Consider the following 14,648-nt stretch of genomic DNA (forward strand, 5'->3'; position numbering starts at 1 on the left):
TGGGAGAGCGAGACTCCGTCTCAAAAAAAGAAAACAAAAACCAAAACCCAAAAACCTAAACATCTGGTCAATCTGGGAAGATATCCTTGAAGAAGATGGCTTCTGAGATAACTTGTTTTTGCTAGGTTCTTGGTGAGAGGGGGACTTCTTAGCTTATGTTGCTTGCAAATTAGATAACTGGATACAGGCTTGAAATGTGTTGACGGAATGTGTAGCAGACACCAGGAATGCCCACCTGAAATCTATTCTCTGTTTCTTCTTGCTGCCAGAATCCTGATTTTGGCAATGATCCTCAATCATCCTAAAGCGAGGGTTGACAAACTTTTTCTGTGAAGGGCAAGAGAGTAAAATTTAGGCTTTGTGAGCCAAGAGGCAAATTTGAGAATATTATGTAGTAATGTTCATACAATTTTAGTGTGTCATGAAATATTATTCTTTTGACTTTCCCCTCCAATCATTTAAAAATGTAAAATTCAGGCCAGGCGCAGTGGCTTATGCCTGTAATCCCAGCGCTTTGGGAGGCTGAGGCAGGTGGATCACTTGAGGTCAGGAGTTCGAGACCAGCCTGGCCAACATGGTGAAACCCCATCTCTACTAAAAATACAAAACTAGCCGGGCGCAGTGGTTCAAGCCTGTAATCCCAGCACTTTGGGAGGCCGAGGAGGGCAGATCACAAGGTCAGGAGATCGAGACCATCCTGGCTAACAGGGTGAAACCCCATCTCTACTAAAAATACAAAAAATTAGCCAGGCTTGGTGGCAGGCGCCTGTAGTCCCAGCTACTTGGGACGCCGCTGAGGCAGGAGAATGGCGTGAAACCAAGAGGCGGAGCTTGCAGTGAGCCAAGATTGCACCACTGCACTCCAGCCTGGGCGACAGAGCGAGACTCCGTCTCAGAAAAAAAAAAAAAAAAAGAAAAAATTAGCCAGGCGTGGTGGTTCATGCCTGTAATCCCAGCTACTTGGAAGGCTGAAGGCTGAGGCAAGAGAATCACTTGAATCCGGGAGGCAAAGGTTGCAGTGAGCTGAGATGGCGCCACTGCACTCCAGCCTGGGCAACAGAGCGAGACTCTGTCTCAAAAAAAAAAAAAAAAAAAAAAAAAAGAGCGAGCTTGGGTTCTTGACTGGCAATACCAGCAACCACCTGTTCTATAACTTGCCAAGTGAGAAAAATAATGCCCCAGGTTTATGCAGCTATTGATCCACTTCCTTATTGCCTGCAGCTGTGCTCTTAGCTGATCCGGTGTGCTAGGGATGTCATCATTATCTGCCCCGCCCCCACCCTCAGATGCTGGTGCCCAGATGGCTGTGTTTTGCCCCACATGATCCATCTCGCTCACTCCCATGTGCCCGCCCTCACTGTTCAGACCTGACCCAAAGTTAGCCAATCCATAAGCTGGCCTTTGTGGCTTGGCTCAGTGCATGAATGGGAACAAGCTGATTCCCTCTCTCAGGAAAAGGAACTGAGATTCCTTTTTCGGGTTCTGGCAGGACAGAAGGAGGTGGACCAAAACAATATGGTGGAGTCACGTGAGTGGTGAATCCTGGAAGAAACATCCACAGATGTCGTGGCTGAGGTGTCTGCAAATGCTTCTGATGCATCCTTACCTCCGACTCCTGGCTCTGAAATCTCAGCCTGTTGTGGCCCTAGCTCCTGGATTTCTTCTTGATTCCAAGCATATCTTGCAAGTTCCACTTATTCCTCCCCAGACCACAGCAATTTTAGAATGTAGGCCGGCATCCTGCTCAGCATTCCCTTTGTTTCACTGCTTCCCAAAAGGGCTGGGGATTGGGGAAGGGAAGAAAGTCCTGGCCAGACCCTTGACAGCAGTGCAATGCCCCCCTGCCCAAAGGCCCCGGCACCACTTGGGCCGAGGGAGCACGGGTCCACTGGGCTCCCGAAAGCCATTCTGAGCAGAGAGGCTGCGGGACCAGTTTATCCTTTACAAGCATCTGGTTTTATGCTTTCCTGAAGCCACAAAAAAAAAAAAAAAAAAAAAAGGAAAGTTTTTCCAAGTGGACGGTGAACATGCAACCCCTGGGGGTGTAGTAGGATGGGAATAGAAACAGGGTGAGGGGTGCTCTGAGGAGTTAAAGCTCTGACAGGTCACTGAGGGAGGGTGACTGAGGTCCCAAAACTTTCTCCAGGACCTGTTGGCACCCGTTGGAGGAGGGATTAAGGGGCTGGCTTGCAGCATGACAGTCAGGAGCCTTTGGGGGCAGGGTGGGGCTCCAGATGGGAGGGTTAGGTGACCTGGAGGGCGCCATGGAGGGCGCAGCTGGTTCCTTGCAGCCTCTAGCCCCCAGAGGACTGGTGGGACCAGCGGGGGTGAGGGCCTTGCAAGGTTGGTGATGGTGAGCCAGCTGCCAGACGGCAGCAGGGCTGTGTCCCAGAGAAGGGTCAGTGGGCCAACTCCCAAGATCCAGTATTTAGTAAACACTTAAGCCCAGCCCCAAGCAGCCCTGGGGACAGAGCCCTCTCCCCTGTGGTGGATGCAGGTGCAGATTCTATCGTAACCCAGGATGACTGGGTGTGAGCTATGAGGGAGGCTGCAAAAAGTGCAGGGCTTGGCAAAGGATCTGTGTATGGCAGGAGGAAGATGAAGACTCTGGAAGACAGGGAGTGGAGAGGGCCAGCAGGGTCAGGGGCGTCATCATGCCCAAAGAGAGTAGAGGAGATAGGAGATACTGCAGTAGGCGAGTGGCCTTGGGGCTTGTATTTGGGGTGTGAACACTAACATCTGGAAGGGTGAACACTAACATCTGGAGCTAGAGACAGCCTCTTGGGAGTCATTTCTGTACAAGTGGTCATTGAGATGACATGGAGTGGATAAAACTGTGTGAAGAGTTGAGAAAAAGAGGAATAAAACCCTAGGGAGCATTTAAGAGTGGAGAGAGAAGGCTGTGGAGGAGGCAGAGAGAGAGTAGGGTCAGCAGGTCAGAAGAGATCCCAGAGGCGCGGCTCAGAGGCAGGGAGGGAACATTCCAGGAATCAGGGAGTGGCCACCAGTGTGGACTGGAGCAGAGAAGGCGGGGAGGAGACCAGGGAAATGGAAGGTCCCAGGTGACTTGCAAAAGCAGCCCTGGGGATGCTGGGGACAGAGGTCCCGGGAAGAGTGTGGGAAGAAAGCAAGGTGGGCAGTGAGAGCCCAGCTGGAGAGGGAGGGCAGACTGGAGATGGGGTCCTTGAGTGGGAAGCAGGAATGAAGCTCTTTAAGGATGGGGAGTGGGCACTTGGGTGAATGCTAGTGTCCTCGGAGGCTTGCTTCTGTCCCTGTCACATCTCACAGGACCATCCCTTTCTCATTCACAAACTCCCTCAGGCCTCACCCCATCCCTTGAGGATCATGTAAAGAAATTCCTACTCGCTGGAGACAATGGCCCCATTTTTTTTTTTTTTTTTTACATGCATCTCAGGGACAGTCTCTCTAATCAGATGTGTGGGCTGGGCTGGGGATCTGAGCACCTGAGGACCCAGGAAATGGTACAGTGAATGCACTTCTTTCAGATGGTCTCCAAATCACTAGCAAGAGGCTGCCTCCTCCAGAAGGTCTGTTGCTGTTTTCTCCCATCCTCTTGGCCATTCTATGACCCTTTGCCATGTCCCAGAACCAAGGTCAGCAGCACAGTGCTTTACTGATGATTAGAACAAGGTACCTGGATGCCCTTGCTGTGGCATGATCTATCTAGGGGCTCTGAAGCCCTCCTGCACCTCCTGTAGGCTCACAACCTGGTGCAGGGATACCGGAGGAGGAGGTAGCTGTGTGCAGGGGGCCCCTGTGTCCCAGAGACAGGCTGAGGCTCAAACATCAGACATATTTTCCAGATTGATTACCATGCCTAGAGCAAGTATAGGGCAAGCCACTGGCCTTCCTGCCTCCACTCCCACTGGGTTAACCGGGGCAGGGAGGCCCACAAATCCTCCTGATGAAGGCTCCCTTCCCACCCTCCCCTTTTGTCCCCACTGTTGACTTTCTGTGGGATCAGCTGCCCTGGCATGTGGGACTGTCAGAGGTACTGGAACCAGAGTGACTCCATCTTAAATAGGGGCTGGGTAAAATGAGGCTGAGACCTACTGGGCTGCATTCCCAGGAGATCAGGCATTCTTAGTCACAGGATGAGACAGGAGGTCGACACAAAATACAAGCCATAAAGACCTTGCTGATAAAACAGGTTGCAGGAAAGAATCCGACCAAAACTTACCAAAACCACGATGGGGAAGAAAGTGACCTCTGATTGTCCTCACTGCTCATTACATGCTAATTATAAGGTATTAGCCGGTTAAAATACACTCCCACCAGCACCATGACAGTTTATAAATGCCATGGCAACCCAAGGAAGTTACCCTATACGGTCTATAAAGGGGAGGAACCATCAGTTCTGGGAATTACCCACCTCTTTCCTGGAAAACTCATGAATAGTCCACCACTTGTTTAGCATATAATCAAGAAGTAAAAATAAGTATGAGCAGCTGAGCAGCCCATGCTTCTGCTCTGCCTATGGAGTAGCCACTTTTATTCCTTTACTTTTTTTTTTTTTTTTTTTTGAGATGGAGTTGCCCAGGCTGGAGTGCAATGGCATGATCTTGGCTCACTGCAACCTCTGCCTCCCGGGTTCAAGCGATTCTTCTGCCTCAGCCTCCTGAGTAGCTGGGATCACAGGCACCTGCCACCACACCCGGCTAATTTTTTATATTTTTAGTAGAGATGGGGTTTCACCACGTTGGCTAGGCTGGTCTCGAACTCCTGACCTCAGGTGATTCACCCGCCTCGGCCTCTCAAAGTGCTGGGATTACAGGTATGAGCCACTGTGCCCAGCCTATTCCTTTACTTTCGTAATAAACTTGCCTTCACTTTACTGTATGGACTTGCCCTGAATTCTTTCTTGCGCAAGACCCAAGAACCCTCTCTTGGGGTCTCGATAGGGACCCCTTTTCTGGTAACAGGAACAACTTTCACTCTGCTTAGAGACCCTCTGCAAACCCAAGGCTGCTGTTGAAACAGGTCCTGTCCCAGACGCCAATGTTCAATTCTTTGACACTGCGGTCTGCCCCCTTACTGACCACTGATTTGACAGATGGCCCCTACCTCTGCCAGAAGACAGTGAGGGCTGTCCGCTGGTGTCCCCAGCTTTGGGGCAGCCAATGTGCTGCAAAGTGGAGCCCTCTTTGGAGTATGCAACATTCTGTCAGCACCCAACATACTCCCACCCATAAACTTTCCTTCCTGTGCCTCCAGGGAGGCCAGGCCTGAAAGCCCAGAACCTGCTGTAGACTCACCGTGTGAAATGTCTGCTCCAAGCCCTGATACTGGCTGCCTTTTTAACTCTGTAAAACTTGGGTGAGATGCCTGAAATTGTGGGTGACCTTTTAGATAGACTACCTGCCTAGTAAAGAATGGAAACTTTGGGCTCAAAATACTGGTCTATGTGGCCCCAGCAGCTGGGTCATCCAGTTCAGAGCACCCCCAGACACCCCAGTGTATTGTCTAACCCACTGTCCTCCCAAGGGTCCACTGGACCGCAGACATCACCCCCATGCTGGTTGGAAGTATGTGGTTGATACTATCCAGCTGAAGACTGAAATGCTTGCAATCTCATGGGAATATGACAAGTAGGAATATGACATTTTACTCAAAGCTAACAAGCATGGTTCCTAGGTATGGGTTCTTTTCCTAGCCATGTACAGCTATCTACTCGGGCTTGTATATCTTTTCATGTAAACTTATGTTTCACCCATTTACCTGATGGCCGCCTTCCTCACTGAGGCCCTCAGAGCATTACATAAGCATCTGGGGAGACTGACAAAGGGACAATTTGTGCTTAGGATCACTATTTGGTTCACAAGACCGATCATGTGAGTTTTAAAACCTAACAACCCCCCCCCAGGTCCTTTGGTCATGCTAAAACTCCCAACAGACAGCAGCCATCAGTTAAAGAGTCAGTTAAGTTGAAACTAGAAAGGCAAATGTAGACCCAATCTATTCTGTTGCGGGCCTTTAGTTCTTGACAGACTTTAGGGGAAAAAGTATTTTTTTTTTAATGGGTTATGGGCTAAAGAGGGACAGTTTGCACAGCTTGGACAAAATAGAAGTACTCTTACCAATAAATATGTCTCAAAATGACAAATAAAGCTCTCCAATTGGTGGCTTGGAATCCCAGCAAGAAGTGATGGGCACAGGCACGATGAGCTATGTACAGAGTGTAAACAGTAAGGCCCTTGAGGGGAAGTAATAAGGGGTAGGGGCCAGGTGATGGGGTGTGCACGGAGGAGCCTGGGTGGCGGACAGCGGGCCCATGGATAAATACAGCAGGCTTGTATGACGGCTATACAATCTGCCACCAAAGCTTGTGGGTGGTGGTAGGTCCACTGGGTTCCTCCAGTTGGCAGTAAGAAGGAGAAATTTGTCCACTGAGGAGCCCTGGTCCCACTGACTTTTTCCCTAAGGGAGGCACTGGGGTAGCCGGCCAAAGCTTCTGTGCCTATTTCCCAGAAGAGGAGGGGCAGGCCTTCCTGGCCATGCTTGGGGCTGTCTACTCAGGGTTCAGGGCATGGAGGATGGGGCAGTGTTTCTCAAATAGGGATTGGGAGCAAAAGGCCCCACGGAGCCCGCAGCCTCTCCCTTCTAAGAAAAGAGTTCTGGGCACCTGAGTCCAGCAGGGGGCCCCACTACTTTTCACCTTTCAAGGGCTCCAGCCTCAAGCTCTGCCCAGTTCCTCAGGGATGTCACAGAGCAGCTGCCCTGATCAGTTTCCGGGTCTCCGATTTGCACGGGGGCTCTTAGAACACCAGCCCGCCTCTCTGGTCCCCCTTACCCCCAAGCCCAGCACACTCCGCGGCCTAGCTCTGGGGTCCTTAAATATCGGTCTCCCGTAGGTTGCTGTAGTCGGCCAATTCGTAGGCCTGGCAGGTGGCGCCCTCGGCCACCTCGTGTGGGACGCCTAGGGACACAGCCTCCACCTCTGAGCGCTGGGCGCACGCTGCCTCTGCGCGCTGCGCGCCCCCGGCGCGGATCTTGTGCGACAGGCTGGAGACTTTGGCGCGCAGCTGGGTCGTGGGTCTCCGGAACGGCCCCAGCAGCCTCCACTCGCGGAAGGCGCTGGGTGGCTTTCGACGGCTGGCGACCGGAGCCTGCATCTCGGGCGTGCCTGGGGGTTCGGGGTCGGGGTCGGGGAGCGCGGTGAGGGCCAGCGGCGCTCCGGGGGGCGCGTCGCCCGAACTCGGGGCGCAGTCCTGGCGCAGGCCGCTGGTGGAGGCCCGCCAGTGGTGGCCGTAGACACGCCAGAGAGGGCGGCGGCGCCGGCGACGACGGCACTGGCAGCGCAGGAGACGGAGGAAGGCGCGCTTGAACTCGCGGCTGGAACAGGGGTAGATGAGCGGGTTCACGCAGCTGTTGAAGTAGCCGAGCCAGAAGATGACCTTGAAGACGCCCTCCGATGGCTTCAGCTGCGGGAACAAGGAGCCTGTAGGGAGCAGAGACCGATACTATTTAGCTGCTTGGGGAGGGGGAGGCCAGGCGGCTCTGGGCGCAAAGGGGAGACCCTTCAGTAGCCTTGGCTGAGTCATTGACTAGGAGTTCTCAAGGGATCCGTGCTGTAAATCAGGAGGTCCATGAACTTGGATAGAGAAAAATAATAATTGTTTTCACTCACCTCTACCTGATATTGAGGATTACCTTCAATGAATGTAGGCAACAAACCAGAGTAGAGTTAGACAAAACCACGTGCAATTGCTGTTTTTGTAGCTCAAAACCGGTGCAATATTGGCAGTTTCGTATTATGAGACAAAGTAGCAAACATAGCCATGTTTGCTCATTTCTGCGTGCCAGCATAATTTCACAAAGTCCCCGACTCTGTGACAAAGTACGGCTCTCTGGAAAGATGCTTTGAAGATAAAATAGGATAGAACATACGCCCCCGCCTCCCTGCCACATCTCCTGTCTGAGTCACTGTTTTCCTGAAATGATAAATGACCCTAGTCCTTGCCTCTTCCTACACAGAAGATAACGTCTGACCAGGCTAGTAATTATGCTGCTATGAACAGATATACTCTTACACCCAAAACTCAATATAATTCTGCTTTAATAGAATTGCTGAGCAAGTTCAATAAAATTTTGTACATATGGAACCCGCGCTACCTATATATAAACAGTAGATTAAACTACTGTGCTGGAGCAGTCTAATATAACCTCTCTGAAGGGCTGGGCTACAGGGCTTAGTCTATAGTCCTCAATAAGACTTCTAAATAAAACTAATGTTAATTTTTTAAAAGCTTTTTTTTCTTTAATTGATAATATGATTCAAACGAACATTAGCCGTCCCCACGGATATTTTCCTATCACTTTCAGTTGTTGCAGATGTTTTGAAATATTCTCTATGCTCCTCACTTTTGGGAAATGACAGTCATTAGAATGCACCACTAGATCTTGTTTTTTTTTTTTTAGACCCACAGAGTCAATTTATTTTTGATAAAGGTACAAAGATAATTCAATAGAGAAAGGGTAGTCTTTTCATTTGTCTTTTCAGCAAATGGTCCTAGAACAATTGAACTAGATCTTGTTATGTAATACCTTAATGCAGAAGCATATTCATTAGCAAGTCACGCATTTCCTGTAAAAATATTTTGATGGCTTTTCCAATAAAATCAGTTTCATTTGTAATCTTTTGTATTTTGTTTTATGCTTTTGAAAGCGTGACTCTGAGAAGGGACCCATACGCTTCCCCAGGTGCCTAAGGAGTCTGTAACAAAAAGGGGTAAGGACCCTCGAATTAAATGTTGGCCAAGGTTTGCTCCCTGCCAGGTGCTGTGCTGGGCTCACACACACGAGGAGGCATTACACATGGCCCTTATTTCCCAGCTAGAATGTGAATAAATATCTTTGAGATGCAGGTGGGGTGATGATGGTGGTGCTCAGTGTAGACAGTCCCTGACTTTGATGGTTCGACTTAATTTTTTGACTTTACAATGGTGCAAAAGTGATACGCGTTCAGTAGAAACCATACTTCAAGTACCCAAAGAACCATCCTGTTTTTCACTTTCAATATAGTAGTTAATAAATTACATGAGATATGCAACACTTTATTATAAAATAGGCCTTGTGCTAGATGATTTTACCCAACTGTAGGTGAATGTAAGTGTTCTGAGCATGTTTAAGGTAGACCAGGGTAAGCTATGATGTTCAGTAGGTTATATGTATTAAATGCATTTTGACCTATGATATTTTCAATTTACAACAGGTTTAACAGGACATAATTCCCACTGTAGCTCCCCACTGCAGCTGTGTGTGCATGTAGGGTGGCAGCCACAGGCTCAGAGACAGCTTAGGGGGGTCAGCCAGGATGAGGCAGGGCAGAGGGTATTACAGGTGGGAAGGACAGGCGGGCAAGAAAATACCAAGTTTGGGTCCTGGGAATATCCTATAGGATAAACTCAGAAAATCTCTTTTGGGACAAATAGTGAAGGGGCTTACATGCTGTGAAGTTCAGCTTTTATTTTGTGGATGCTTAGGGGCCGCGAATATTTTTAAGCAGGTGAGAGATAGAGCCTGGAATTAAGCCTCCATAAACACACTGCTCATGGGCTGTTGAAATGCAGGGCAATGGGGCTGTTCCAGTGGAAGTGGTCAGGAAAGGCTTCTGGGATGGCTTTGAAAAAGGAGAGTGCCAGGGAGGATGGGGCAGGGGCACTAGGATCTGAGCTGTGCCAGGAAGACCCTCCTTTCCACAAACATCTCCCCTGACATCCATACCATGGACCCAGAAAAGGTCATTTTTCCAGAAAGGCACATGACCAAATGCAAAGGCACAATCCAGGCAGCAGAGGCCACTCTTTCAACCTCACTCACCCTCAGCAGCAGTAGGGGCAAGAAAGCAGGGGGCCAGGGGTGTTCCATCCTGGATAGAGGCTGCAGGTGCCTGTGAGACCAAGCGGGCCAGGGGTGTTCCATCCTGGATAGAGGCTGCAGGTGCCTGTGAGACCAAGCGGGCCAGGGGTGTTCCATCCTGGATAGAGGCTGCAGGTGCCTGTGAGACCAAGCAGGCCAGGGGTAGGGGGGGGTCCTTAACAAATTATGGGACCTTCTCTCTCTTCCTCTTGCCTTCAAAAAAAAAAGAGCAGGGATCCCTACTGAGGAGGCAGAGGCACCATTCCCCTCTCTTTGACCTGGGGAATATCGGCTTTGCTTATCACCCCTCCTCCCACCATACAGAGACAGTTTCTGGTGCTAAGAGACACCGCAGGGGAAGAGGAGGGTCCCATAGCATCATATGGCACAGGCTTCTCAAACCTTGGTCATGTGGCCCTAAGCAGGTTATGTGGCCATCTAAGTTTTTTTTTTTTTTTTTTTTTTTAAATAGATGGAGTCTCGCTCTGTCACCCAGGCTGGAGTGCAATGGTGCGATCTCGGCTCACTGCAACCTCTTCCTCCTGGGTTCAAGCAATTCTCCTGCCTCAGCCTCCTGAGTAGCTGGGACTACAGGCACGCACCACCATGCCCAGCTAATTTTTGTATTTTTAGTAGAGACGGGGTTTCACCATGTTGATCAGGCTGGTCTCAACTCCTGACCTCGTGATCTGCCTGCCTCAGCCTCCCAAAGTGCTGGGATTACAAGCGTGAGCTACCGTGCCTGGCCCATCTAAGTCTTACTTTCCTTTTAATATTATTTTTCTAGAAGGAATTTTGTGAAGATTCATATATTTTAGGTCCCAGCACTTAGCAGGCTCTTAAAAAGTATTGGTAGCTATTACTTTTTTTTTTCTTTCTTTTTTTTTTTTTTTTGAGACAGGGTTTCTCTCCCATCACCCAGGCTGGACTTCAGTGGCACGCTCTTGGCTCACTACAACCTCCACCTCCTGGGCTCAAGTGATCCCCTTGCCTCCTGAGTAGCTGGGACTACAGGGGTGCACCATCATATTCGGCTACTTTTTGTATTTGTAGTAGTGTCTTGCCATGTTGGCCAGGCTGGTCTTGAACTACTGACCTCAAGTGATCCGCCTGCCTCAGCCTCCCAAAGTGCTGGGATTACAGGTGTGAGCCACCGTGCCTGGTTTATTAGTATCTATTACTTACCTCCATTTCTGTGGCTTTTGAGTGAAGAGAACTCACATCTGGGAAGGGACCCAGTTTCTAGCTCTGGAGAGTGGCCAGAAACAGCAGCTGAGACCTAGTGGGTTTTAGGGGCCACTGGCGCATTAGTCAGGATGTGTGAAAGAGATTATTTTCCCCGGGAGAGAGGTTGGGCCATCCCTGGAATGTGGGGGCCACTAGTGTTGACCTCAGCCTCCAGGAAAGTGGCCCTCAAGAACAGCATCGCTCAATGGCCGCGAACTAAGACAGAGTGCTGAAAATAGCCTTCTGACTCAAGCTACAATTCTTTTATATTTAGCCCAGGATGACAAATCAGTGGACTATGCTTTTCAGTGGTGAGCCTGAAGCTGGCCAAAGGGCATTGTTATTGCATGGTTTTTATTCAGACTGGTGGGCAACATGGCATATTGTAGTATGGCCAGGTCATGTTGTAAACATTAATATGGTAATTTATGCTCAACCAACCTGAAGTCTGCTGTGAGCTGGGAAGTCCTTACACGAGAAGGAGCTGTAATACAAACTCAGCCTTTCAGCCCCAAGGTTTTCCCACTGTATCCTGTTGAGGTTTTGTCTTACTTTGGGCTCTCCCAGAGCAGACTGACAAGAGTAGAAATACAAGTTTTTAATTTGGGAGGTAAATGAAACAGCTTGAGTGAGTGGGAAGAAGAATCAGGGAAAAGAAGGAAGCCAATAAAGTGTGTTATCAAGTTACGGATCACTGTGGGCAATGGGGGAGCTCTGGATGGCTATGAAGAGCACAAACCTCAGTGTTCTCACACCAGTAGAGTGAGGGAGGTGGGGTATTTATACGCCCATTCCCATCAGTCATTGTTTGGGCTGCTCCCTCTGGGTGTTAATTTTCCACACTTCCTTTCTGCCACATGAGTGTGCAGAGAAAGTCCCTGGGCAAAGAAATGCAGGCAAGTGCTCTAACAGAATTTGGCCCTCATGCACTAAAGCTCTGGGGGAGATGGGTGGGGAACCAGTGGCATCTGCCACAACTTTGTTTTATGTGTTCTCTGCCCACTGCATGCAGACATGTTGCCTGGAAATACAAACAATCTGTGCATTGGGCTCCAGATTCCGCAGGCAGCGGCTCTCAAGAGACTTCTCCTGTTCCGCTCACAGATGCCGGTTTGAATTTCACACCTGCCTCTGCCCACAGTGCTCCAATCCACCACCTACACCGCCCTGCACTTGCCCACTCTCTTGACTGCACCCCTCAGCATTCTCTCATGGGCCCACAGCCTCATGCAGGGATCTCTGGAAGTCAGAAAGACAACTGGGCATTTTCCTCTCCGTGGCATACCATGAGTGTGAAATGGGGAACTGCCCCAAGACCCCTGAGCATGGGCACTTGGCTCACAGGCCTTGTTCTTTTGTGGCTCCAATGTCTCTCTGCAGTCCTCTGTCTTCATGTGCAACAGCCAAGTGGCCAGGCTGACTCACTTTGCACTCTGGCCACAAGGGGCTCCCCAGTCTTGCCTCTGGGCTCTTGCACATGATTATCCTGGAATGCCCTTCCTCTATATCTGGTAGTGCTAGCTCCAGTGGCATCTCCTTCTGAAGTCTCTCTTACACCACTCGCTCCTGACCCAGCTGAGCTATTTTACTCTCCTCCCACCCGCAGCACATCACTCTCCCTTTTAAGTGCCTAAAGCACTATAGGTAACGATCAGTTTCCTGTCTATTTCACCTTTAAAGGCTAAGCTCTTCCTACCACTTGGCATCTAGTAGGTACCTGATACATTCTTGGACTCTTTTCTGTGTATCGCACCTTGCAGCTCATCCATCACCAACTCCTGTTGGCCCCTAAGTCCCCTCGACTTTCTTTGTATCACCTTCATGTTACTACCTTGGTCCAGGCTACCATCGTTGTCTACCTGCAGTGCCTTTCTTTCCTTCCTTCCCTCCTTCCTTCCTTCCTTCCCTCTCTCCCTCCCTCCCTCCCTCCTTCCTTCCTTCCTTCCTTCCTTCCTTCCTTCCTTCCTTCCTTCTTCTCTCTCTCTCTTTCTTCTCTTTCTTTCTTTTTTTTTGACATGGGGGTTTCACCATGTTGGCCAGGCTGGTCTTGAACTCCTGACCTCAGGTGATCCGCCTGCCTTGGCCTCCCAAAGTGCTGGGATTACAGGCGTGAGCCACTGCTCCTGGCCCCTGCAGTGCCTTTCTAAGCGGCCTTCCTGCTCCTGCCTTGTGCCCGCCCCCGGCTCCGAAGCTTGCTCTCTGTACACAGCTGGGGATCCTTTTAAAATATAAGCCTGAGCATTTCATTTCTTCACTTAAAATCCATTAGCCACTGAGTGCAACTTCCTGTCTTTTCTCTCTCTTCCTTATCTGTACTTTGACCTCCTGCCAGCTCCTTGGATTCCTCCTTCTCTGCTTAGCTGAGACTCCTACTCACCAGCACCTTAACTGTTCTCTTTTCCACCAACCCCCTCATCCTTCTGGATGTAGGGAGACTCATCCAGCCAGATCCTGACTCTGGAGCAATTTAGTCGCTCCTTGAACACGCTTGGGGTCTTTGACCTCAGCTCTATGTCCCATATTTCCAGTGATCTAGGCTCCTGTCCTCTGCCAGCTCTCTCCCTTTTCCTTTACCGGCTCTTTACTGCATCGCAGGTAGACAATGATGGAAGTGTTGATCAAGGTGGCATTAAGGAGGTAGTGCAAAGTTGGGGGGATTTGGCAGCCTAAAGGAGTTGGTAATGGATGAGGTGCAAGGTGTGATACAAAGAGTCCAAGAATGTATGAGGCACCTACTACGTGCCAAGCACGGTGTGAGGAGTTTAGCCTTAAATGGTGAAATAGAGAGGGAACATATAGTTACCTACAGTGTAACCTTTCCTATACCAAATCTTTACCCCTCTTTCCAAGCCTTGCAGCCTGCCCCTTCTTCTCCAGAGCAGTTGATCTTACCTCCTGTTTCACAGGGAAAGCAGAGGCCACAGAAACTAGGCACTCGCCCAGCCTTCTGCACCTCTCATCTTCTTTGGTAAGGAAGGGATCGCTCCTCCTACCCAAGGTTAGTGTCCCTACTTGTATGGTGGAGCCCTCGATCCTTAAGCCACCCACAAGCCTGCCTTGGTTACAGCTGCTGCCCCTTTGCTGGCTCCCTGGCCACCACCTTCTTCTCTCCACGTCTCCAGCCCTCACCTACAGTCTCCTTGTCCCCACCTGACCTCACTCTGCTCTGCTGCTTTGCCCCACATGTTCCACCCCTCCCAGGCCCTCAACCTGTAGACACTGCCCTCATCCTCCTGGGTGCCACTCATCTCATCTGTGGCTTCCCGGATGACAGTCTCTTGGTTTTTCCTACTCCTTGTCAGTTTCCTTGCTGCTCCTTCCTCACATCCTCACTGCTAAATGTAGGAGCGCCTCATTTAGTCTTGCAGTTTCCTGTCTTTGCATTCTCCTATCAGTGTCATCTAGGCTCATGGTGTTAAATATTGACTTTACAGCTCAGACCTCTCTCCTTAATTCCAGACTCATAGATCCAGCTGCCTCCTAGACATCTCCACTTGGGAGTCTAGTGGATCTCACACTTATCCTGTCCTCATGAAGCTTAC

At 50.0% G+C, this 14,648-nt stretch overlaps 1 protein-coding gene across 1 annotated transcript in view, besides 3 other annotated features; it reads right to left on the reverse strand.

Annotated features, from left to right (window-relative positions):
- Positions 2,123 to 2,860: an enhancer, noted in NCBI's record as "H3K27ac-H3K4me1 hESC enhancer chr20:4197441-4198178 (GRCh37/hg19 assembly coordinates)". NCBI's record gives its function as "activates a minimal SCP1, AML or CMV promoter by ChIP-STARR-seq in primed H9 embryonic stem cells {active_cell/tissue: H9 hESC(primed)}" and the evidence as "EXISTENCE:reporter gene assay evidence [ECO:0000049][PMID:30033119]".
- Positions 5,959 to 14,648, reverse strand: part of ADRA1D (adrenoceptor alpha 1D) — a 28,658-nt gene continuing 19,968 nt past the window's right edge. The window contains exon 2 of the mRNA NM_000678.4: positions 5,959 to 7,459. Within this exon, the coding sequence (NP_000669.1) occupies positions 6,852 to 7,459 (608 nt within the window). The 3' untranslated portion in view covers positions 5,959 to 6,851. The remainder of the gene's footprint in view (positions 7,460 to 14,648) is intronic.
- Positions 6,741 to 6,850: an enhancer, noted in NCBI's record as "active region_17493". NCBI's record gives its function as "activates an Ori minimal core promoter by ATAC-STARR-seq in GM12878 lymphoblastoid cells {active_cell/tissue: GM12878}" and the evidence as "EXISTENCE:reporter gene assay evidence [ECO:0000049][PMID:35858748]".
- Positions 7,149 to 7,649: an enhancer, noted in NCBI's record as "H3K27ac hESC enhancer chr20:4202467-4202967 (GRCh37/hg19 assembly coordinates)". NCBI's record gives its function as "activates a minimal SCP1, AML or CMV promoter by ChIP-STARR-seq in naive H9 embryonic stem cells {active_cell/tissue: H9 hESC(naive)}" and the evidence as "EXISTENCE:reporter gene assay evidence [ECO:0000049][PMID:30033119]".

The sequence above is a fragment of the Homo sapiens genome, chromosome 20 (assembly GCF_000001405.40).
Source record: "Homo sapiens chromosome 20, GRCh38.p14 Primary Assembly".
NCBI lineage: Eukaryota > Metazoa > Chordata > Mammalia > Primates > Hominidae > Homo > Homo sapiens.